This window comes from Homo sapiens, chromosome 9 (assembly GCF_000001405.40).
Source record: "Homo sapiens chromosome 9, GRCh38.p14 Primary Assembly".
Lineage (NCBI taxonomy): Eukaryota > Metazoa > Chordata > Mammalia > Primates > Hominidae > Homo > Homo sapiens.
The window spans coordinates 132421346-132445923 of record NC_000009.12 but is presented as its reverse complement, the minus strand read 5'-3'; the positions used below and the strand labels follow the sequence as shown (position 1 = coordinate 132445923).

General features: G+C 46.5%; 1 protein-coding gene and 1 pseudogene across 5 annotated transcripts in view, besides 3 other annotated features; both read right to left on the bottom strand.

The window, feature by feature from the left end:
• The window catches only part of CFAP77 (cilia and flagella associated protein 77), a 163109-nt gene that overhangs the window by 127396 nt on the left and 11135 nt on the right, over positions 1-24578 (bottom strand). The gene's annotated exons all lie outside the window — the stretch shown is intronic.
• Positions 20620-21120: an enhancer, noted in NCBI's record as "NANOG-H3K4me1 hESC enhancer chr9:135300191-135300691 (GRCh37/hg19 assembly coordinates)". NCBI's record gives its function as "activates a minimal SCP1, AML or CMV promoter by ChIP-STARR-seq in primed H9 embryonic stem cells {active_cell/tissue: H9 hESC(primed)}" and the evidence as "EXISTENCE:reporter gene assay evidence [ECO:0000049][PMID:30033119]".
• Positions 22828-23122: a silencer, noted in NCBI's record as "tiled region #9749; K562 Repressive non-DNase unmatched - State 21:Repr". NCBI's record gives its function as "represses a minimal TATA promoter and a strong SV40 promoter by Sharpr-MPRA in K562 cells {active_cell/tissue: K562}" and the evidence as "EXISTENCE:reporter gene assay evidence [ECO:0000049][PMID:27701403]".
• Positions 23161-23662: an enhancer, noted in NCBI's record as "H3K4me1 hESC enhancer chr9:135297649-135298150 (GRCh37/hg19 assembly coordinates)". NCBI's record gives its function as "activates a minimal SCP1, AML or CMV promoter by ChIP-STARR-seq in naive H9 embryonic stem cells {active_cell/tissue: H9 hESC(naive)}" and the evidence as "EXISTENCE:reporter gene assay evidence [ECO:0000049][PMID:30033119]".
• Positions 24234-24283, bottom strand: RNU5D-2P (RNA, U5D small nuclear 2, pseudogene; annotated as a pseudogene).

The window sequence follows — 24578 nt, the reverse complement described above, 5'->3', positions numbered from 1 at the left end:
AATTCTCTTATTTATTTTGTTTTTCTTTTTCTTTCTTTCTTTTTTTTTTTTTTTTGAGATCGAGTCTCACTCTGTCGCCCAGGCTAGAGTGCAGTGGTGCAATCTCGGCTCACTGCAACCTCCACTTCCCAGGTTCAAGTGATTCTCCTGTCTCAGCCTCCTGAATAGCTGGGATTACAGGCACCCACCATGACGCCTGGCCAATTTTTGCATTTTTTAGTAGTGACAGGTCTTCACCATGTTGACCAGGCTGGTCTTGAACTCCTGACCTCAAGTGATCTGCCTGCCTCGGCCTCCTAAATTGCTGGGATTACAGGCGTGAGCCACCGCGCCCAGCATATTTATTTTGTTTTTCAAAAGCCAATAACCTGTGCCCCCATCTTCATAGCAGCACTATTCACAATAGCCTAAAGGTAGAAGCAACTCCAGTGTCCTTCAACAGAGGAATGAATACACAAAATGTGGTCTATCCATACAGTGGAATAGTATTTATCCCTAAAAAGGAATAAAGTTCTGACACAAGCTACAACATGGATGAAGATGAGGCTAAGTGAAATAGGCCAGACACAAAAACACAAACATGGTAGGCTTCTGCTTTTATGATGTACTTAGAGTAGTCAGATTCATAGAGACAGAAAATAGAACAGTGAGGCCAGGCACAGTGGCTCACACCTGCAATCCCAGCACTTTGGGAGGCTGAGGCGGGCAGATCACCTGAGGTTGGGAGTTTGAGACCAGCCTGGCCAACATGGCAAAACCCTGTGTCTACTAAAAATACAAAAATTAGCCAGGCATGGTGGTGCGTGCCTATAATCCCAGCTACTCGGGAGGCTGAGGCAGAAGAATTGCTGGAACCCAGGAGGCGGAGGTTGCAGTGAGCCAAGATTGCACCACTGCACTCCAGCCTGGGCAACAGAGTGAGACCCTGTCTAAAAAAAAAAAAAAAAAAGAAAGAAAGAAAATAGGACAGTGTTGCTAGGGGCTGGTGGAGGGGGAATGAGGAGTTGTTTAATGGGGACAGAGTTTCAGTTTTGCAAGATGAAAAGAGTTCTGGAGCTGGATGGTGGTGATGGTGGCACAATGACACAGTATCTAATGCGGTTCAGCATTTAATGCCACGTAACTCTACAATTAAAAATGGGTAAGACGGCAAATTTTAGGTCACGCATATTTTACTACAATTTTTTTTAAAAAATTTTAAAGAAAAAAGATCAATAACCTGCAAAAGTCAGTATTTTACCAGTAGCGACAAATGATTTACAACACCCTCGCTATGGATCCAAACACTGCACGATTTCGGGAGACCACAGCCAAGACCCAGCCACCCTGCCGGAAGGACTCAGGTCAGCCTTCCTGCCTTGCCATGGCCATCTCTCTTGAATCTAACCACAGGCACCTCCTGAACCTGTGGGGCCCTGGAGGCGGGCCATGAGCCAAGAGGACAAACCATGGCATGAATGTGCTGAGTGTATGTGCTCCTGCTTCATTCCCCTCTCGTTCCTCTTTCCTGGCATGGATCCAGCCCATAATAAGGCAGATTCTCAAAGGAGAGAGCACACTTCCTGCCCAAATGACAAGCTGTGGATTATGCAGATATCTTTCCAGATGTGGCATTTGTCTCCCTGGCAATGCCGCAGGTGGCTCTAGGTTTGCTTGGCTGGAAAACCCCATCTGAGCGCCTTAGCCTCACAAATACCTTCTTCCATTGCTGCTGCTAATGCCCAGGGCTTCCATGTGCAAGCTGATTTCCCACGGAGCTGCAAAGCCACCTCTGTAGGAAACGGGAAGTGGAAGAGGAAAGGGTGTTCTCAGAATCCAATGAAGGACGAGGTGGAGCCTTCACCCTGGTGGCTGCTCAGCTCTCATCTTGGGCATGTCTGGAAGCCTGGCCTGTGGGCCCGGGAGGGCCACTGTCATCTATCCAGGGCCCAGCTCAGAATTGACACTTAAGGAATGGCTGGCGTGTGAACTCAACGGTTGATTGAATAAAATGGGAAAATGGCCCAGAACTGACACTGATTCCAGGCAGTGTTGTGGGTGCAAAATGCATGCTTTGCAGACCCAAACAAGTGATTTTCAAGTCCAGTGTCTACTATTCAAGCGTGGCCAGAAGCCCCATGCATGTAATCTGGAATCCTATTTTCAACGTCATGCTCCAATTTTAGCCTTACAGACCATAGCGTTCTCCTTCTCAGGAAGAATGCTTCCTACGTCTTGGGTTAATATCTTGAAAAACTGCTACTACATATGTAAGTGACAATAACTGACATAATCCAAACTGAGCATTGTTGCTTCACGAAGGGCCGTTTACCAAGATGGTCCATTTTACCTAAGATAAACACCGGCCTATTTTAAATTAAAATACTTTTCTGGCCGGGTGCAGTGGCTCATCCCTGTAATCCCAACACTTTGGGAAGCCGAGGCAGGCGGATCACCTGAGTTCGGGAGTTCGAGACCAGCCTGACCAACATGGAGAAACCCCAACTCTACTAAAAATACAAAATTAGCCAGGTGTGGTAGCACATGCCTGTAATCCCAGCAACTAGGGAGGCTGAGGCAGGAGAATCGCTTGAACCCGGGAGGCGGAGATTGCGGTGAGCCGAGATCACGCCGTTGCACTCCAGCCTGGGCAACAAGAGGGAAACTCCGTCTCAAAAAAAAAAAAACAAAAATAAAACAAAAAAAAAACTTTTTTATTTTAATGAGCATGAATGCCCCTCAATGAATGGATAAATAAATTGCAGCATATCTATACAATTGAGTATTATTTAGCCATTAAAAGGAATGACGTACTGATACTTGCTGCGACATGGATGAACCTTAAAAACATGTTAAAAACCCTAACACAAAAAGTCACATGTTATGATTCCCTTTATATACAATATCCAAAATAGGCAAATCCACAGAGACAAAAGGCAGGTTAGTGGTTAGCAGGGGTTGGCAGAGGGGAATGGAAAGTGATTACTGGAAGGTTTTGGGGTGTTCTTCTGGGGTGATGAAAAAACTTTCAAAACAGAGGTGCTAGTTGTACAACATCGTGAATGCATGAACTGCCAGTGAATTGTACACTCTAAAATGGTTTGGCCGTGTGTGGTGGCTCACACCTGTAATCCCAGCACTTTGGGAGGCCGAAGTGGGAGGATCGCTTGAGCCCAGGAGTTTAAGACCAGACTGGGCAATATAGCAAGATCCCATCTCTACAAAAAATAAGTACATATATAAAAATGATCGAATATCATGCGAATTTTGCCTCGATGAAAAAAAAAAAGATGGGCATGATTATCTCCAAGTACACAATAACCTATAAGAAAAGGTTTATAAGATTATGTAAAATGATGCAGCATAAATTATAACACAGAGATTTCTTTTTTGAGATGGGGTCTCACTGTGTTGCCGAGGCTGGAATGCAGTGGCTCGATCTCAGCTCACTGCACCCTCTGCCTCCGGGGCTCAAGCGATCCTCCCACCTCAGCCTCCTGAGTAGCAGGGACCACAGGTGCACACCACCACACCTAGCTAATCTTTTCATATTTTGGGTAGAGACAGGTTTTCGCCATGTCACTCAGGCTGGTCTCAAACTTCTGTGCTCAAGTGATTTGTGTGCCTTGGCCTCCCAAAGTGCTGGGATTATAGGTGTGAGCCACTGTGCCCAGCCTGTTTTTTCTTATTGAATAAATTTTGCCAGTTACAATCCCATCAAGATGCGAATGCCATTCTGTCCAGGAGAGAATGGTCTTATAATCCATCCCCACTGCAATTCCTTGTTCCATATCACTGCTTGTCTTGGAAACTCCCAAGGGAGGGCGGGGGCTATGTCTGTCTTACCGCCTGTATTCCTAGTACCTAGATCAGCTCCTGGCACATAGTAGTAGGTGCCAAATAAGTGAACAACTGAACAGTGTACAACTGAACCTCCCTAAACTGCACAAAGGGTAGAAGATACTCTGGGCTGGCCCAGCACTTCTCAAACTGGAATATGCACACAGATTACCTGGGACCTTGTTGAAATGTAGGTTCTGATGATTAGGAAGGTCTGGGGTGGGGGCTGAGACTCTGCGTCTCCAGCAAGTGCCCAGGGCTGTGGACGCTGCAGACACACCAGCCACCCTTGGAGGAACAGGAGCTCAGGCGTGCCTGACCCAAGCCTTGCCATTGAAGAAGATCGGGTTCCTGGTATTTGAATCCGGGGCTGTTTGTCTCCCCAGAACTCACTGCTCACTCTGCCTCCGCGCACCGAGGCAGCCTAAGCACTTCCTTGTTGTTACCCTGAGGAGGATGATTAAGGTAATTGGCAACTTTTTCCCGTGATTCCAAGGTAGGCTGTCATTTCAAGGAAAATACGTCCACTCCAATTCAGAACACTCAGTTTCAATGTTTTCTTATGTGTGGTTGGCGGGGAGCGGGGAGGGTGTCTGTGGCCCTCAAAAGAAATATGCTATTCTTCTCCCTTTGTGTTTCCCAGCATGTAAACTCAGCTTGAATCACAGCTAATAAATAGGTCATCTTGTACTTTCAAAATAAAAACATGCCGTATTTCAGTGGAATAGCAACTGTACATTAAAAAGCTGTCAACTTCACTACAATTTCCCTGAACCTTGCACTGCAGAAAGATACCTTGTCACTCAGAGTTGAGTGCAGTTTTACTGAAATATCTCCTTGTCTGCGTAAATAATGAGTAGAATTGCATGAAAATATCTGGCCCACAGTCTCCTTTTCCCCCTACTCCCAAAGAAACAGTATGCAAATGACAGATTTGTGGGGTGAAATTCTCAACACTTTACTTTGAAAACAAAGGCTGCGGGTCCCACTGACCCTGGTATTGTGTGTTTAGGATGCAGAGAGGAGGAAAAGGGAATAAGGAGGAAAAGAGAGTAAGAGGCAAGGAGAGAAGGGTGATGGTGAAAACAGTGGTCTTTGCAAGCTTCAAATCAAGGAGGCTAGACTGTCACTCAACAGCTATTTTGGGAACACACACACAGGTTGCATCAGAAAGTCCTGTATGTGGGAGGTGTTTACTGAAGAGGAATGGTCCAGACTCCAGAAAGTGTCTATGTAAAATAGGGCAGCCTGCACAGCTTGCAGCGTCCGACCCAGGTTCAGATCCATTGTCTACCACTGATGGGTTATCGAAGTCCCTACACCTCTCTGAGCCTCGGCTCCCTGGACTCTCAAATGACGACAGAAATAATGATGGCCCTCCCAGGGTGGTAGCAGATGAGATGATAGATTCAAGGGTACTTTGTAAACCCTCAAACATGATCTAGATGTTAATCATAATTGTCAATAGCTAGTCAATGGCATTGTAGCAGAGTTACTAACAAGAGGATGGGCTATGGATTCAGCCTAGTGGAGGTTCAGATCTTGGTTTCACCACTCACTAGCAGTGTGACTTCAGGCAAGTTTCTGTATTTCTCTGAGCCTTGGTTTTCTGATCTGTAAAATGGGAATACCAATGGTATCTACTCTGGTCAGGTTGTTAAGAGGATTTGATGAGAGAATGCATTGTAAAACCATTTCTTGGCCCATAGAAACTGTTCGGTCAATGTGAGTTGTTTATTATTATTATTACTATTATTATTATTATTTTGAGACAGGGTCTCACTCTGTCACCCAGGCTGGAGTGCAGTGGTGTAACCATGGCTCACTGTAGCCGCGTCCTCCTGGGTTCAAGCGATCCTCTCTCCTCGACCTCTCAAGTAGCTGGGACTACAGGCATGTGCAACCATGCCCAGCTAATTTTTTTATTTTTATTTTTTGTAGAGAGGGGGCTTCGCAATGTTGCCCAGGCCTGTCTCAAACTCCTGAGCTCAAGTGATCCCCTCGCCTCGGCCTCCCAGAGCAGTTATTATTGTTATTGCTGCTGCTGCGGCTGCCGCTGAGGATGATGTTATAATGTTGATAATGATGATGATGCCATTATGCTGATGTTGATGATGATGATCTACGATAAGAATGATATCCTCCATTCCTCCCTGAGTGGTGATCTACATCACCGCACCATAGGATCGAGGAATAAGAGAGATGTTTGCTCTGGACAGGTAGATTAGAGCATCTTTTTTTTTTTTTTTTTTTTTTGAGACGGAGTCTCGCTCTGTCTCCCAGGCTGGAGTGCAGTGGCACGATCTCGGCTCACTACAAGCTCCGCCTCCCGGGTTCACGCCATTCTCCTGCCTCAGCCTTCCCAGTAGCTGGGACTACAGGCGCCCGCCACCACGCCCGGCTAATTTTTGTTGTATTTTTTAGTAAAGACAGGGTTTCACCATGTTAGCCAGGATGGTCTCGATCTCCTGACCTCGTGATCTGCCCGCCTTGGCCTCCCAAAGTGCTGGGATTACAGGTGTGAGCCACCACTCCCGGCCAGATTAGAGCATCTTACCCAGAGTAAGAGCTGAAACTATAACAGCAGCTGATTTATCTGAAGATGAATCAGGAAGACTAAATCAGACCACAGAGAGCTGGATCTCTCGGCTCAGGGCTCAGAGCGGGGAGTGACCAGACAGATGCTTCAGCTGCCTGGGTTGGCTTAATCACAGAGCCTCATAGAGGAAGGAAGCCAAAGCCAGTGATTCAAGCAGGTGAAAGAACAGGAAACCTGGTCCTGCACGCCCCTACCAGGAAATTCCTCTCTGGCTTAGCAGCTTCTACCCACATGAGCCAGGTCTTGTTCTTCAGGACTCAGGGCTGGGTACAGTGCAGAGTGAAACATCATGTTCAACTGCTTCCTAAGCCTTAATTTAAGAATATTGACTGCCGGGCATGGTGGCTCATGCCTGTAATCCCAGCACTTTGGGAGGCCGAGGTGGGCAGATCACCTGAGGTCAGGAGTTTGAGACCAGCTTGGCCAACATGGTGAGACCCCATCTCTATTCAAAATACAAAAATTAGCTGGGTGTAGTGGTGTGCACCTGTAATCCCAGCTACTCAGGAGGCTGAGGTGGGAGAATCGCTTGAACCCGGGAGGCAGAGGTTGCAGTGAGCCGAGATCCCACCACTGCACTCCAGCCTGGGCAACAAAGTGAGATTCCGTCTCAGAAAAAAAAAAAGAAAAGAAAAGAAAAAAGAAAAAACAAGAAACAAAGAATGTTGGCCGGTCAGGTGCGGTGGCTCACACCTGTAACCCCAGCACTTTGGCAGACTGAGATGGGTGGATCACTTGAGCTCAGGAGTTTGAGAACAGCCTGGGCAACATGGTGAAACCTCATCTCTATAAAAAATACAAAATTAGCCAGGCATGTTGGCATGTGCTAGTAGTCCCAGCTACTCAGGAGGCTGAGGTGGGAGGATTGATTGAGCCCAGGAGGTTGGGGCTGCAGTGAGCCATGATGTGACACCACATTCCAGCCTGGATGACTTGAGACCCTGTCTAAAAAAAAAAAAAAAAATATATATATATATATATATATACCATATCTGTTCCCCCAAATAAAGGAGAACTCAGAATCCTTTTATCTTGGAAATTTTTATGTGTGGAAGTATATTACATTTTCCTAAAATACATGCATTTGAGACTCAATAGAAACCAATGGTATACAAAATCAGTCTCTATCAGCTCACCAGAGCCAATCATTAAGTATCAGGAATCTTGCAAGCCAAATGTAAAATAGGAACATCATTAAAAATTAAATTATACAAACTTTAAGTTATATAAAGACAATGCAATACATACTCAAAAGTCATCACTTTCTAATTATTTTCCAATGTCTTTTTTTTTTTTTTTTTTTTTTGATGGCGTCTCGCTCTGTCTCCCAGGCTAGAAGGCAGTGGTGCAATCTTGGCTCAATACAACCTCCGCCTCCTGGGTTCAAGTGATGCTCCTGCCTCAGCCTCCTGAGTAGCTGGGATTACAGTAGCCCACCACACCCTGCTAATTTTTGTATTTTTAGTAGCGACGAGGTTTTACTATGTTGGCTAGGTTGCTCTTGAACTCATGACCTCAGGTGTTGGCCTCAGCCTCCCAAAGTGCTGGGATTACAGGAGTGAGCCACTGCGCCTGGCCAATGTCTCACTTTTCTCTGTACTCTTGAGGTTTATTTATATCTATTACAGCTATATGGTGAAATTACTATATACCCATTTTCCACACCCGGGGTGATCTCTCTAAAATGCAAAAGTGGGCCGGGCGCGGTGGCTCACACCTGTAATCCCAGCACTTTGGGAGCCCAAGACGGGCAGATCACGAAGTCAGGAGATCGAAACCATCCTGGCTAACATGGTGAAACCCTGTCTCTACTAAAAATACAAAAAATATTAGCCGGGTGTGCTGGCGGGCGCCTGTAGTCCCAGCTACTCGGGAGGCTGAGGCAGGAGAATGGCGTGAACCCGGGAGGCGGAGTTTGCAGAGAGCCGAGATCGCGTCACTGCTCTCCAGCCTGGGTGACAGAGTGAGAGTCCGTCTCAAAAAAAAAAAAAAAAAAAAAAAATGCAAAAGTGGTCCCGCCCCTCTTGATGTTTTCCCACTGCCCTCGGACGAAGTCCAGACTTCTACTGTGACATCCACGACTCTTTCCTTCAGCCTTGCCTCTTGCCACGTCCTGCGTCGAGTTTGAACCCGTAATACTGGCCGTCTTTCTGTTCCTGGAGTGCACCTTAATGTCTTTCTGCTTCGAGCCTTAGCCCATGGTCTCACTCCTTGCACAAGAAGAAAAGAGCAAACAAACAATTGCAGAGTAAGGTTATAAACACACTCACAGTGTATCAACAGCTCAAGGAGTCTTCAGAAAGCAGGACCAGTGCTTGGGGACAAGGCGATCAGGGAAGGCCTCATGATGACAGGAACTGTCATCTTTCTTTATGCATCGAGTTACCTGAATAGTATTACATGCACATGACACAGAAGTCAGATGATACACAGGGTGCGAAATGAAGAGCAGGTCTCCCTCCTGTTCCTGTCTCCCCACAGAGGCAAGCTCTACTGTAACTTTAAAAATGATCCTCATAACAGAAATTGTAAAGTAGGGGTGGGGGGAAAATCCAGCCCCTATCTATAACTTACCACTTTTCATTTTTCAGAGCTCACTTCCTGGCCCTATCCAGACAAGTTCACTCTCCAGACAAGGATAATTTTTGCAAAACTGCTATCATACTAGACATATAATTTTGTGTTCCACCTCCTCCTCACTACCCCACTCATCAACCTATCATGGGCATTTTCCCCATCAGGAATCTCACTTGAAGCGTTCGTAATTATCACTTTGAATTGCCGTAGCATTAAAGTTTCCAGCTTCAAATGTGGAATGGTGGAATGGCCACTAGATATCACTTAAATGTCTTCAAAAGGTTGTATTTTTTTTCCTGACTGTTCTTTTCATAAAGATCACTCTGCATATATCTTCATGCCATGAAAAAACTAGGAAGAGAAATTCTTTGTTGAAGCAAGAGTGAAAAATGCTTGTGTAACTGACTTGGATCAAGTGACCAATTCAAATTTTTTGCAAACCCTACTATAGTGGGTTGCAAAAGGTATGTCCCCAGAACCTGTGAATGTGACCTCATTTGGAAAAAGGATCATTGCAAATGCAATTAAGAATCTTGAGATGAGATCATCCTGGATGATCCTTGAGGATCCTAAATTCAACGAAAAGTGCCCTCGTAAGAGAGAATATGAGAAGACACAGGAGAGAGGCCACGTGACCACAGAGGCAGAGATCAGAGTGATGCGGCCACAAGTCAAGAACACCTGGAGCCACTAGAAACTGGGAGAGGCCAGGAAAGACCCTCCCTTGGAGAATTTGGAGAGAGCTTGGCCCAGGTAGCACCTGTGATTTTAGACTTCTGACCTCTGAAGCTGTGACAGAATACATTTCTTATTATTTCAAGCCACCAAGTTGTGACTTGCGATGGCAGCCATGGAAATGAATACACCTGCCAAGTCCATAACCAGACCATCATCCTTTCTTCATTCCCTGGGTTCTCCTGGGGAATGCGCACCTGCTGCCGATCTCAGTTCACTCACTGAGCAAATGCACTCTGGTGACCAAAAATTCAGACTCATTAGCATAAAAATCCCACTTAGCAGAATCTACATAAAGGTAAGCCCTGTGTTTCTTTCACTGGTCCAGTGTACAGTGGGTGACAATAAAGTCATGAGCTGACATCACCAAACATTCTAGAAAAATGCAAGGGTTTGAAATGAAGGTGGGCCGTGGGGTGCCCTCATGGTATTGAAGGGTGAGGTCATGCTGGACACCATTCGATACCATGTTAATTGAGTTCCTGCTATCTTGGCAGTGCCAAACGCTGTTGGTGTAGACATTAAGTCTGCTTGGACACACTGCTCCGGTCTACCAAACACCACTCGGTATCGATGAAGCTTCTTTAACTCGACCAACCACCCCAGGGGCCAAGCCTTTCATAAACAAACTGGCCTCTTGGATTCAGGGGGAAATACTCTGAAAAGCATTCAGATTCCTTCACTTTTATTTAGTTTGAAGTGAACACAGTCTTTTCCTAGCGTGTCGTTATTATTGACAACTGGAGATAAAATCTCAGATCACTAAAGCTACGCATGGTGATAGCTCATCCTGGGCAGAGCAGTGATGAATGAGAGAGGGCTTTCTAGTAAAGTTTTAAAAATCTCTCTCTTTTTCTCTCTCTTAGAACCCCAAAATGGAAGTTACAACATTCAGTAAATAAATAAAATAAGTGGGCAATCTCGTGGTGACATTTTCATTAGCCCACTCGCTTTCTGTCTCATTAGCCTTCACGGGGAGAGGAAGGATTGTTTTAATTAGCAGGGTGGAAAAGTCTTGCCTGGGTTGCATTCCCTCCCGCTGTTCCTAGGATTACCCTGTCAGCTTATAAATACAATACCAAATCATTACAGCCCACAACACCACCTCCAAGGCGGCGGAAGAAAGGGATCCACTTGAGTCCATGTTAAGCGTCTTTGAACAATGGTCTTTCTCTAAGCATTCAAGTATAATTCAAGCGTAATATTGGGATTTATCAAACAGCTCAATATCCTGCCACAGAAAGGCCCTTTCTGGCTTGGGACTGGCCATGTGTTCCTTCCTTTTCGCTTTTGTGCTCTGGGCGGCCCAGGCAGAGCGTGCATCTGACAGAGTGGCCATGCTGGAAGGGATCACGGTTTCAAAGTGCCCATTTGGATTTACTTGTTAAATGCTCAAATCAAAAGCCAGACCAGAAGCAATCCCTCTGCCCCCCTACAGGTTCCTATATCCGTTTGCACTGCTCATGGGCGCTTGGGGGCTTGATAACACACAGGTTGTTGTGATATGAATCGTGTTTCAATTACACAAAGTTGTACGCACAGATATTTTGCTTCTCGGTGAAACCAAATTGTAGATTCATAGGTTCCACCCACCTGTGCACATAGCTGTGCCTTCCTTCATGGAGAAAAGCCTGTCTTTGAATCTTAAAATGAAAGTGTCTTAAGTTTGGATCGAAAATACATCTAGATGTTTGTAGAAATGCCAAGGCTACTATTCACTAGGAGACAGTCTCCCAGGTCCTCATTAAACTGTTTATTTGCTCATTTGACAAACATTTATTGAACACCTACTTTATGCCAAGTACTGCAGGCACTGGGGATAGAAAAAATTTAAAAAGACCTGGTTCCTGGCCACAAGGAACCCACAAGGACAGACATTTTCATATACATGGTAAGAACAATGACAGAAATACACACAGGATACAAAGGCGGCAAAGAGCGGGGCCACATAAAACACCTCAGAGCGGGGATGGGGTCTGGAAAGACTTCCAGAGGAGAGGACCCAGAGCTGGGCCTTATTTATTTTATTTTATTTTATTTTATTTTTATTTTTTCGAGATAGGGTCTTGCTCCATCACCCAGGCTGGAGTGCAGTGGTGTAATCATGGCTCACTGCAGTCTCAGCCTCCTTGGCTCAAGCGATCCTCCCATCTGAGCCTCCCAAGTAGCTGGGACTACAGGCACATGCCACCATGCCCAGCTAATTTTTTTTTTTTTTTTTTACACATGGGGTCTCCCTATGTTGCCCAGGCTGGTCTCTAACTCCTGGACTCAAGTGATCCCAAAGTACTGTAATTACAGGCATGAGCGCCTGACCAAAGCTGGGTTTTAAAAGATGAATAAATAGGTTGGTAGAGGTGGCTCACACCTGTAATCACAGCACTTTGGGAGGCCGAGGCGGGTGGATCACCTGAGGTCAGGAGTTCAAGACCAGCCTGGCCGACATGGTGAAACCCCATCTCTATTAAAAATACAAAAATTAGCTGGGCATGGTGGCTCACACCTGTAATCCCAGCTACTCAGGAGGCTGAGGCAGAAGAACTGCTTGAACCCAGGAGGCGGAGGTTGCAGTGAGCCAAGATTGTGCCACTGCACTCCAGCCTGGGTGACAGAGTGAGACTCTGACTCAAAAAAAAAAAAAAATGAATGAATAGCCACGTGAGGAGAGGAGAAGTGTGGGGAGCGTAGTGAAGTGGCATCTCAGGTCAGGGTGGAGGGCAGTCTGCCCACAGGCAGGTGGCTAGTTTATGCCATCTGTGCTGTCCTTTGTCATAGAGGTGAGAAGGTGAGTACCAGCTGGCATAATCACGACTCACAGAGTGTGGTAAGGGAAGAAGGGCCATCAAAGGCTAGAAGAGCTCACACACGAGTACGGCTGGCAAACAGAAACCCAGCAGCCCTCAGAGCAAGTGCCATTTCTCAGGCCCTTACCATTGAGCAAGCTCTGCACTTAGCTTTACACACATCTGTCTCATTTCATCTTTGCAACAGCCCCATGAAGTAGGTGCTATTGTCAGCCCTCATTTATAGAAAAGGAATCAAGGGTCCTGACATGGTGGTTCACGCCTGTAATCCCAGCACTTTGGGAGGCCAAGGTGGGGTGGATCACTTGAAGTCAGGGGTTTGAGACCAGCCTGGGCAACATAGCGAAACCCCATCTCTACTAAAAATACGAAAATTGGCCGGGCTTGGTGGCTCACGCCTGTAATCCCAGCACTTTGGGAGGCTGAGGCGGGCAGATCACAAGGTCAGGAGATCAAGACCATCCTGGCTAACATGGCGAAACCCATCTCTACTAAAAATACAAAAAAAATTAGCTGGGCGTGGTGGCGGGTGCCTGTAGTCCCAGCTACTCGGGAGGCTAAGGCAGGAGAATGGCGTGAACCCGGGAGGCAGAGCTTGCAGTGAGCCGAGATCGCGCCACTGCACTCCAGCCCAGGCGACAGAGTGAGACTCTGTCTCAAAAACAAAACAAAACAAAACAAAAAATGAAAATTAGCTGGGTGTGGTGGCGCATGCCTATAGTCCCAGCTACTCAGGTGGCTGAGGCAGGAGAATTGCTTGAACCCGGGAGGCAGAGCTTGCAGTGAGCTAAGATCGCACCACTGCACTCCAGCCTGGGCGACAAAGCAAGCTCCATCTTAAAAAAAAAAAAAAAAAGGAACCAAGGACTAAGAAGGGACCCTCTTGCTATCTGAGGTTATGCAGCTAGCAAGCAGCAGAAGGAGGGGTAAACTGCAGACCTGTCCAAGTCCAAAGTCCTTGCTACAATCTATGGACGGGTCTGGCTCCCAACAAGACTGTCAAGCTGACATTCTCAAATATGGGTTCCTGGCCACCCAACTCCTCCCATGTAAAGCCCTCAGACTCTGTTCACATCTTGCTAGGGATTCCACTCCACTTTGTCCCTGAAACGACACATTTCTTCCACACATCACCCTTTTGCCCTCCCCCAGATCCAGGCTCACTTATATTGTGTCCTGCTTCCTGATGTCCTTTTATAGAACTAGAAATTCTAAGAGAGGACTCTGGGCCAAGGTCTGTGTTCCTGGGCTCCGTGTTTCCAGCGAGACATCTGTGATTATTTGAATTGTTGTTCCCTGACGTGCAGTGTGTTATTTTTCCCTGTCTGATTTCAAGATTTTCTCTTTATTTTTGGTTCTTCACAATGTGCCTATGACGTTCACAGGCGTGGTTTTGTTAATTTTTAGGAATCTCGTTTGAATAGCCAGGAGTGGTGGCTCACACCTGGAATCCCAGCTACTCGGGAGGATAAGACAGAGGAATTGCTTGAGGCCAGTAGTTCAATAAATCTTTTTGGGATTCACTGAGATGTACTAGGTTGGTGCAAAAGTAATGGCAAAAACTGCAATTACTTTTGCACCAGCCTAATATGTCTTTGAGTAAATTTGGGGAAATTTGGGCTACTATTCCTTCAGGAAAACATGTTAGACCTTTTGATACCATCTCACAGGTCCCTGAGGATCTGCCCACTTTTTTCAGTCTTTTTTCTCTGTTCCTCAATTGGATAACTTTTATTGGTATATATTCAGGATCACTGAGTCATCTGTTATCTAGATTCTGCTGTCGGGCTCATTAAGTGAATTTTTACCTCAGACATTGTATTTTCACTTCTAGATTCCTGTGGGTTACTTTTTGTCCTATCTTTTCATTCATCGAGAACATATTTTTCTTTACATCTCAAGCGCAGTCATAGCATCCACTTTAAATTCAGGATTGCTGATTCTAAATCTGGATAATTATCTCAATTCTATATGTTTTCACTTGAGAGTGAGTCATATTTTCCTATTTCTTTGCATGTCAAATATACTTCTGAGGTGTGCCTTGGACATTGTGACTGACCCATTGTAGAGACTCTGGATTATTTATGTTCTTTTAAAACATTTTTTGTTTGTTTGTTTTGTTTGCAAGAAGCTAACTTGATTGAACTCAAAGTGCAAACTTTGCCTCTTCTGCAGTGGACGGAAGTTCATGTCTAAGTTCTGTTATTTATTTTAGCCTTATTTGGGCTTTGTAGTATCTGTGCCTTTTGTATGGGCTCAGGGATTATCCAGAGACCCTGAATTTGGACTTCCCTTCTCTGGCTCTCTCCTTTCCTGGATTCTTCCCTCACCTTCCAGTGATGGTGGTTGCTCCAATTCTGTCTTCTGGTTCTTCAACCACAGGTTGACTAGAATCACAGGTTTCTATCCAAACTGTAGACATGCTGTGCAGCACTGACTATAGCCTGGCCTTTGGATAAAGGTCATTTTTAAAATAGGAAAGTCATTTCCTGCTGTTGTCTTCCTCCAAGTGTTGACTCCCTCATCTGCCCGCTGCATCTGCCTGCATTTGTTCACTTCCTAGCATCTTCTTTTTTTTTTTACGTTTTATCTGGAGTATATAAATGTTATCTCTGGGAGGGCTGATATGATAGGAGGTTACTTGGCCATGACCAGAAGAGGAACAAGTTTTCTGTTACTGGGTAAAAATAGCTTGAAGTGCTGCTTCTTCCTTCTGACATATTGACTGAGGTCCCAGATGTGTCAGATAAGACAGAGATTCTGCTGAGATTTCCTGGTACTTGGCAATCTGGTAGGAACGACTGGGACAGGAGGGCTTTTCTTCAGATCGCAACAAAGGAGTGGTTTTCTAGTTCACAGGATAGCTCTGGTCATTGGGAAGAATGGAAACATTCTTGGCTGCATTATAAGTAGATGCTAAGGTAGTTTCTAAAACTCTTTTTGTAGGGGATAAATGTAACTATCTTAAGGCTATGATTTGGAATGTTCCTTACCAGTTTATTATGACATCTAATGCTTGCAAAAATCTTAGGAAGGAAAAATGAGGAGATTGGATCAAAACAGAGGACTGAACCTATTCATCCACTTTTTCTCCCCCCATCCCACAAATGCCACGAAAGGACAGAGAAAGTATTTTCCAAAAGGCAAAAAAATCCAAAATAGTATAGAAAATAAGAAAGGGAGCTCTATCACAGAACCAGAAATTTTAAAAAATTTATGAATGATAGAAATTAGACAGAAGCAGACAAACAGAAAAGCAAAACCAGAGGAAACCACCACCAGAAATAAGTGTAGGAGATGAAGGCCACGGAGCCAGGGAGTGCCCAGGAGAACGCCAAGTGCAGACCCCATGTACCAGAGAAAAGAGGGCTCTGGGGCAGCAGTCGTGGACTATCCGGGGAGCTGCTTTGGAAGCAGTTGGGTTAACTGAGCCTCTTCCCTTCCAAGGTTAACTGAGCCTCTCACCAAGCAGAAAGCAATGGTGGCATTTGCATTCAGACTAAAGCAATGATCATGAAAAGCAGAGTTTTATTTTTTTTGAGACAGAGTCTCACTCTGTCGCCCAGGCTGGAGTGCAGTGACGCGATCTCAGCTCACTGTCCACCTCCCGGGTTCACACCATTCTCCTGCCTCAGCCTCCTAAGTAGCTGGGACTACAGGCACCCGCGACCATGTCCGGCTAACTTTTTTTTTTTTTTTGTATTTTGTTAGTAGAGACGGGGTTTCGCCGTGTTAGCCAGGATGGTCTTGATCTCCTGACCTTGTGATCCACCCGCCTTGGCCTCCCAAAGTGCTGGGATTACAGGCATGAGCCACTGGGCCCGGCCTTTTTTTTTTTTTTTTTTTTTTTTTGAGTTGAAGTCTCGTTCTGTCACCTGGGCTAGAGTGCGGTGGTGCGATCTTGGCTCACTACAACCTCCGCCTCCTGGGTTCAAGCGATTCTCCTGCCTCAGCCTCCCAAGTAGCTGGGACTACAGGAACCGCCACCACCCCTGGCTAATTTTTGTATTTTTAGTAGAGACAGGGTTTCACCATGTTGGCCAGGCTGGTCTCAAATTCCTGACCTCGTGATCTGCCCACCTTGGTCTCCCAAAGTGCTGGGTTTACAGGTGTGAGACACCATGCCTGGCTGGAAAGGAGACATTAAAGATACCCTCATGTAGCTCTTTATTTCCATACTCAGAAGAAAAACCACTAGTTTATCTCACTTTCCAATCTAGTCTGCCTCTCCTCCGCAATCTCTAGCAGTCCGAGAAAAAACATCCACAGGCAAATATTTAGGAAATGGCAAATAAAAATATAATACCCAACCAAGAATAGGCAAACATTTGAGAAAAACCATTATCATGAAAGAAAGAAAACAAGACAGAGGTCCCCAGTTCAACATGCAGGGTGACACTCTAGTGATTACCTTGTTATTCTTACCAAAACTCAGGGACCAGAGACCAGGACCCAAGCCCAAAGCAGTCACATGTGAATGAGATATGACAGAAGCCAATGGTCAGAGAGGGCCTGGTGGGACCCTGACCAACACCATCGCAGCCTGGTGATGCCAGTGTACGCAGAGCAGGGGGGGGTCTTCAAAGTGCTGACTGTGCCCTGAAGGCCTTGGGACCTGGGTGTGTTCCCTAGTCTCAAAACCCAGACTATGGATGGCAAGAGAATGGCCCCTACCTCTGCGCCTCCCCAGCTGTTTGGAAGGAACCTCATTTCCAGGGTAATCGAGGTGTGTTTTTCCCGTACAGGGTGTTTGTTTGTTTATTTGTTTGTTTTTTGAGACAGAGTCTCGCTCTGTCGCTCAGGCTGGAGTGCAATGGTGCAATCTTGGCTCACTACAACCTCCGCCTCCCGGGTTCAAGTGATTCTCCTGTCTCAGCCTCCCAAGTAACTGGGATTACAGGTGTCCACCACCATGCCCAGCTAATTTTTTGTATTTTTAGTAGAGATGAGGTTTCGCCATGTTGGCCAGGTTGGTTTGGAACTCCTGACCTCCCGCCTGCCTCAGCCTCCCAAAGTGCTGGGATTACAGGTGTGAGCCACTGTGCCCGGCTCCTTGCAGTTATTAAGAATCTAATGCTCTGGCTGGGCGCAGTGGCTCACACCTGTAATCCCAGCGCTTTGAGAGGCCAATGCAGGAGGATTGCTTGAGCCCAGGAGTTTGAGAACAGACTGGGTAACACTGGAAGACCCATGTCTCTGTGAAAAAAAAAAAAAACTTAAAAATTAGCTGGGCATGATGGCATATGCCCCTGTGGTCCCAGCTATGCAAGAGGCTGAGGTGGGAGAATCACTTGAGCCAGGAGGTCAAGGCTGCAGTGAGCTATGATTGTACCACTGAACTCCAGCCTGGGTGACAAAGCAAGACCCTGTCTCAGAAAAAAAAAAAAAAGAAAGAATCTAATGCTCAACAAACTTTGAGCCATGGGGTCAATGGAGAATGTTAGAGGTTGAACTCCGTCTCTTCAAAATTCATACGCTGAAGTCCTAACTCCCAGTACCTGAGAATGTGGTTTCATTTGGTAATAGGGTCATTGGCAAGATAATTTGTAATTATGAGATGATACTGCAGGAGACAGTTGTCCCTATAAAAAGAGGAAATTTGGACATAGACACCTTTACAGGCAGAATGTCATGGGAACATAATGAGGGCCATCTACAAACCAGGAGAGAGGCCTGGAACAGATCCTTCCCTCACGGCTCTCAGGAGGAACCAGCCCTTTGGCATCCAGAACTCTGAGGGAATAAATATCTGTTTTTTTGTTGTTGTTTTTTTTTGAGACAGAGTCTCACTCTGTTGCTCAGGCTGGAGTGCAGTTGCGTGATCTCGGCTCACTGCAACCTCCGCCTCCCGGGTTCAAGCGATTATCGTGCCTCAGCCTCCCACGTAGCTGGGATTACACCGTACCCAGCCAAAATACCTGTTTTTAAGCCACTTGATGTGTGGTCATTCGTTAGGCAGCCCTAATACAGAGGGCAAAGCCGCTAGACCCGAGAAGGACCGGAGAAGTCTTAGTGGAGTGGGTGGGACATAGGATGGGCTGGGCATGGCCGGAATTGCTGGATGGCCAAGGAGGGAATGGTCAGGGTGAAAAAACAGAGCGTTGGTGCTGAGAAGGAAGCCGTGAATGGGCTGCAGGAACAGCTAATTACCTCATTGCAGGAAACAAAAACTTCTTCACCCAGATAGAGGAGAGAAGAATCGGGGCTTCTCGTGCTCTGGGGAAGCCGGTTCTGGCCCAAATCTGGCCAAGGCTGGCCCACCTGTGTCTTAAAATGTATTCTCTCCAGCCCAGAAATAACTTAGCTGCAGGCTTCTTATATGGATAAATTCATCCTATTATTAGGCAGTGTCTTCTTTATATTTCGATTAATAACCACATAATGATCACCTTTGCTGATTTAGATGGTGTCATTTTAAGGAATTACGGCTGAGATCCATCTTCTCTTTCTCCATTCCCTCTGCCCTCCCTGAATTATTCCTGAGGAAGAAACCAATTAATAGTAGCTTGACTGCTGTAATGCAGGCTGCTCGACAATGTAGCGATGCCTAATGGAGTTTTAATTTCCCCATGGTGAGTCAATATTTGCTTTAAGAAAGAAAAATGTCACCATAAACCACTGCCCCAAATGAATTCGGTAGCACAGAGGGTGAGAGAGTCTTCTTTCTTAGGCAAACAGTGATGGAAAGTGGGTACAGGGGCGGGGGAATCTCGCTCTGCACAAACAAGGTTGCCTCAGGTTCCGTTGCTGCTTTAGACGATGATGGTTAATAAATATTTTGCTTTGCAAATGTGGATGACTGTCAGAAACTCACCCACAGTTTAAAGGGTCTGAAGCAAAGTCATTATAATATAGAAGAGGAACAATTTATTCCAGCCTTTTAATAACTGGCGGGAAACAGGGAGGGGGGGTGGGGAATGTGACATTAGGCCTCCCTGTTTGAAGACATTACTGTTGTTTCTCATTTCCCCCCAACTTGGGTTGCAGGTGGAAACGGGATCCTACTTTTAAAAAATGTATTAGACTTTTCGGGATCATGCAAGGAAATAAAGTTCTGCAATCCTCTCTCTCATAATAAGTCTGTCCAAAAATGATGTTGCTCATTCTGTTGAAAGATAGTTTCATTTCCTAACTCAAAATTGGTATGAAAAATTTGCCTTGCCAAATGAACATTGTATACTGAACTTGTCAAATCCTTTCTCCTGACACAAATAAAAGATAACATTGGGTGGCAGCATGTAAAACAGCTCTGACAAGATAGCAAAGGGAGACAAAGAAATATACATATTTTGATTCTCTCTGTTTTAGAAGCTCGGGGAGGCGGGCGGGGGTCTCGGCAGAATGACTGGCCGGCTTGTGAATGCTTCAGGTAACAATTGAACAAGTCACTTTCATGTAGATTTTCAATGGTATAATGACCCGGTTTCCAATTAGCCAAAACATGACAAAATCTCAACTTTTATAGCAGCAAAAGCTGCCAGGGAGAGGGCCGTCTGAGTGACAAGGCTCTTCATTCAAAAGTTTACGGACACACCGTGTGGCTGTAATTACTAGTTCTAACACAGTGGGAAATTATTCCATGTGTGTTTAAAAATAAATAAGGTAAATGATCACCCTTTCATTAGATCTGTACCCATATCATGTAAGTGACTTTTTTTCCTATTAAAATTGTTGATTGAAGGCCGTTAGCTGTTTATCAGCTCAAAATTACATTTCTGCTCTCTTAGAGGCTGCTGCCTTTAAAAATCACACTCGGCGCCTAGTTAGTGACAAGAAAAGACTCCTAAAACTGCAATTTCGGGGGGGAAAAAACACAAGCAAGAAACCCAGACTGCACCTTCACGTCCCCAAAGGCATCACGCTTCTTTGTTCTGCTAAGAAAAATTAACCTCAATCTCAGCTCGGGGTCCCTAGATTGATTACCATAGTCATTTAAATACTGTAATCTCATTTTCAGCATGGGGATAAGGAGGGGGGAGCATTGAGAGAGGGGACTGGGGAGCGAGGTTGGAGAGAGAAAGAGAGCAAAGGAGTGGGGGAGGAGAAAACAGAATAAATTATCTGACAAAGGGAATCGGGCCCTTCTGCTCACAGAGCCTATTTCGGATCCTTCCACTTGATTGGAAAAGTTGATGAAGTTTAAATGAAGCAGAATTAGAACCTCAGGCCGCTGAGTATTGACGGGGGCGACGCAAGAATGTGCAATTCAATAGCCCAGATTTCGGCAGAAAACAAGGGAAAGGCCTAAATGGTATAATCTTCAATCGAATCTAACATCCACGCTGACAAGGCAGGGTAATGAGTTAGGCCAGATCAGGCCTGTTGGTTAAAGAAATTAATCCCTCCCGCCGCCCTGAGCTGGGCTTTGATGCCTATTGTGTGGGCCCCAGTCCCAGTCTATCTAAATGCTAACTAACTGCGAGGGTGAGCGGGACTGTGCTTTTCATTGCTGGCGCTAATCTGATAACAATTTGCTCTCTCTGATTAGGGAGGTGGGGAGAAGAAGGGAGCCGTGTTTGGGAGAGGAGGAGGGGATGCCTTTCCTTTGAAAAGGGGGAGGCCGCTCTGCTCAGCCTTGATGGAGGTTTTGCCCCCAGCCATCCTGGCTCCCTGGCCGGCAGATGCGCACGTTTGGAATAACCTGAAATCCAACATCCGTGGGAAACCCGGTATCTATGCGTCTTTATCCCGAGTCTCTTCTTTAAACTTTCAAGTGGTGACACCCAAAGTGAAGGCTCCTTGAGCGGTCCTCACCTGATCCCAGCATCCCTTTCCCAGGAACCTCCCTCTGCCGCCTTCTTGGTAGTGTGCTTCCTCCAGACTTCCCCTAAAAATGCACCCAAGCTCATGGCAGCCAATTTCTCACCTTGTCTAGCCATTGTCTACACCTGTCCCTCCTCTTCTCAGCCCTCCAGCAATTCCACAGGTCTTTCTGGACCAGGCCAGGCCAGGGCTGCTCCCTCTTCCTAACTCTTTTTTTTTTGTTTTGAGATGGAGTCTTGCTCTGTCGCCCAGGCTGGAGTGCAGTGGCACGATCTCAGCCCACTGCAACTTCTGCCTCCCTGGTTCAAGTGATTCTCCTGCCTCAGCCTCCTGAGTAGCTGGGACTACAGGCACCCGAGGCCATGCCGGCTAATTTTTGTAATTTTAGGAGACAGATTTCACCGTGTTAGCCAGGATGGTCTCCATCTCCTGACCTCATGATCTGCCTGCCTCTGCCTCCCAAAGTGCTGCGATTACAGGCGTGAGCCACCACACCCGGCCTCCTAACTCTTTTTTTAACAGCCATGGATGTCTTGGCTGCATTGGTTTCAGCCTTGTGCAGTCAACTTCTGGCCGTAGGTGCACGTGTGTGATGTGAATTTTCTGCCCAACTAGACTGTAAGGTCCTTGGAGAACAGAAAACATATCCCCAGATGAGCTTGACCCTTCAGATAGATATAGACGCAGGTGATAAGCACATGGATTAACTGGATTCTTCTCTCCCATCAGGACAAAGGGGTCTCCCAGGGTAACGGGCAGTGTGGCATAACATGTAGGAAGCATGACAAGCTGTGGACTTACTCAGGCCACACTGCCAGCCCCAATCCTGCCATTTACCCTTCATGTGGCCTTGGGCATGTTTCTGAGCCTTTCTGGGCTCAAGACACGGAGCTTGCAGAGTTGAGATAATATATGTAAAAGATCTGGCACTTGGCCAGGTACTCAACCAGTGATGGCCACTGATGTCACTAAGTTTTTTGGATCTGCACAGCGGTTACGACCTCAGGCTTTGGGATGACAGACCTGGTTGGAAGCCTGGCTCCTCCAGGCATGAGCTGGGTGACTATGGGCAATTTGTGTGACCTCTATAAGCCTCGGCTTCCCCATCTGTAAAATGGGAATGATAGTCATCCTGTCTCAGGATTGTTGCAAAGATGTAAGGGAGAGGCACAGTGCCCGGCACACAGTGAGCACATTGCACAGAGGGCAGCAGCTGTCAGTGGGCAAACTGGAGCGTCAGCTGATCAAATGGTCTACAGCCAGGAGCCTCCTGGAAACCCAGACTCCAGGCTCAGCCTCTTCCTCATCCTCCCACTCCGGGAGAAGTCAGACCCGTGAGCATCCTGTGAGGTGATCCTGGGAAGATCTCCCCAAGAAGCAAGCGGCTGCCTAAGAAAAGACAGAGCTTTCAGGTTCGCCCAACAGGCGCTTTCCTTTTAGAAGAGTAGTTTTTAAAAGACTTGCTTAAACCTCCGAATTTATGCCCCCTGGGTGCCTACAAAGACAGAAAAATCTTCAGTGATGGTTTGTAAAGGTTTTGGAGGCAGCCGCGAAGCCCAACACTCAGCCCTAAGGGACTCCCCGGAATTGCTCCAGCAGGTTCCCTTGAACGACTTGGTGAAAATACGGAGCGCGGCGGACTTGGGCTTGTGTAACTTACAAAAAGTAAACAAATCGTAGTCACTAACCCTAAACCAGCCTGGAAGGACACGTCCTGCCATCTGTGCCCAGCCTGGTTGGGGACCAGGATGCAACTAACATGTCCATCCCAGCTGTCACATCGCAGCACGCTGCCACTGGGAGTGTATCCCTTTGTCCGCCTGTTGTCACCTTCAGTAGAGGGAAGGAGGTGTGGTTGCTGCAGCCTCTTGTTGGTTTCTGGACCTGTCTCTCAGCCCTTTGTGTATTCCCCCTGCTTTGACCCCTGCAGGTGTCCCTGGCCTCTGACTTCCTGCCCAGCCTCACCTCAGTGCTGCCTTTCCCTGCTGCTTCACTGCAGCCCCCTGGCCCTCTTTCCCCAAAGCTCCAGGTTCCTCCTTGCTTTGGGTCTTCTCATAAAATCTCTTATTTTGCCTGGAACAGTCTCGTCCCATTGCTCATGTGAACGCGGACACATACACACTCCACTTCCAGTAACTCTTCACTGACCAGGACCCCTCAGCTCGAAGGGCTGGGCTAAAACATAGCATCCGTGGTATCTTCCAGGTGGGGCTTCCCTAGCCTCTGAGTGCCCTGCACTCCTCCGCAATGTGTATCCCTGAGTGAGGAGTCCTTGGCTTACTGTCTGTCTTCTGCAGGGCCTTGAAAGCCACCTGCTGGGCTGGGCACAGTAGCTCACAGCTATAATCCCAGCACTTTGGGAGGCCAAGGAAGGCAGATCACCTGAGGTTGGGAGTTCAAGACCAGTCTGGCCAACATGGTGAAACCCCCTATCTACTAAAAATACAAAAATTATCTGGGCATGGTCGTGTGAGCCTGTAATCCCAGATACTGGGGAGGCTGAGGCAGGAGAATCACTTGAACCTGGGTGGCGGAGGTTGCAATGAGCTGAGATTGTGCCATTGCACTCCAGCCTGGGCAACAAGAGCAAAACTCCGTCTCAAAAAAAAAAAAGCCACCTGGGACTAAGGCTGTCTTATCCACTGAGGTGTCCCCAAGGCCCAGCACACATAACAGCTCCTCAATAAACATTTTGCAAATGGTCAAATGAGCAAATGAAGGATGGGAGAGAAGCCATTCAGGTGTGCAGAATCAAGGCTTAGAGACATCTAGTGAGTCACTCAAGGTTTCAGAGCCAATGAGAGTGTGCAGTAGACTGCGAACTCCTCACTGTGGTGCCAGTGCCTGGTGTGCCTGGTTCAGGGGAACTGTGCAATGCTTAGTGAAGAAATGAATGAATGACTGAATGTCACGAAGCCTGGAGAAGAACCCAGGATTCTCCACAGAAATCTTTAGTAAAAGGCGAAAGATTTATACGATTTGAAGAGAAACCAGAGCATGAGAACCCAGGATTCTCAAGTCTAATGGTCTAGTGTGCATCCCTCCAAACTCCAGCCCCGCTGAACACGCCATCCCTTTTCCTGGGAAGCTTTTTCTCTCCCAAAGTTGATTTACCATGAAACTAGTGAAGTTAAGCTTCAGGGTCACTCTCCAGCACATTTCAAGGCCTTGGACTTAATTTTCAAAATTATTTGTAATTCTGTATTCTGTTTCTTAAAGAGGGATCCCAAAATTGCATAAACTTTAAGCCTGGCAAAACCTGGATCTCACCCTGCCCCCAC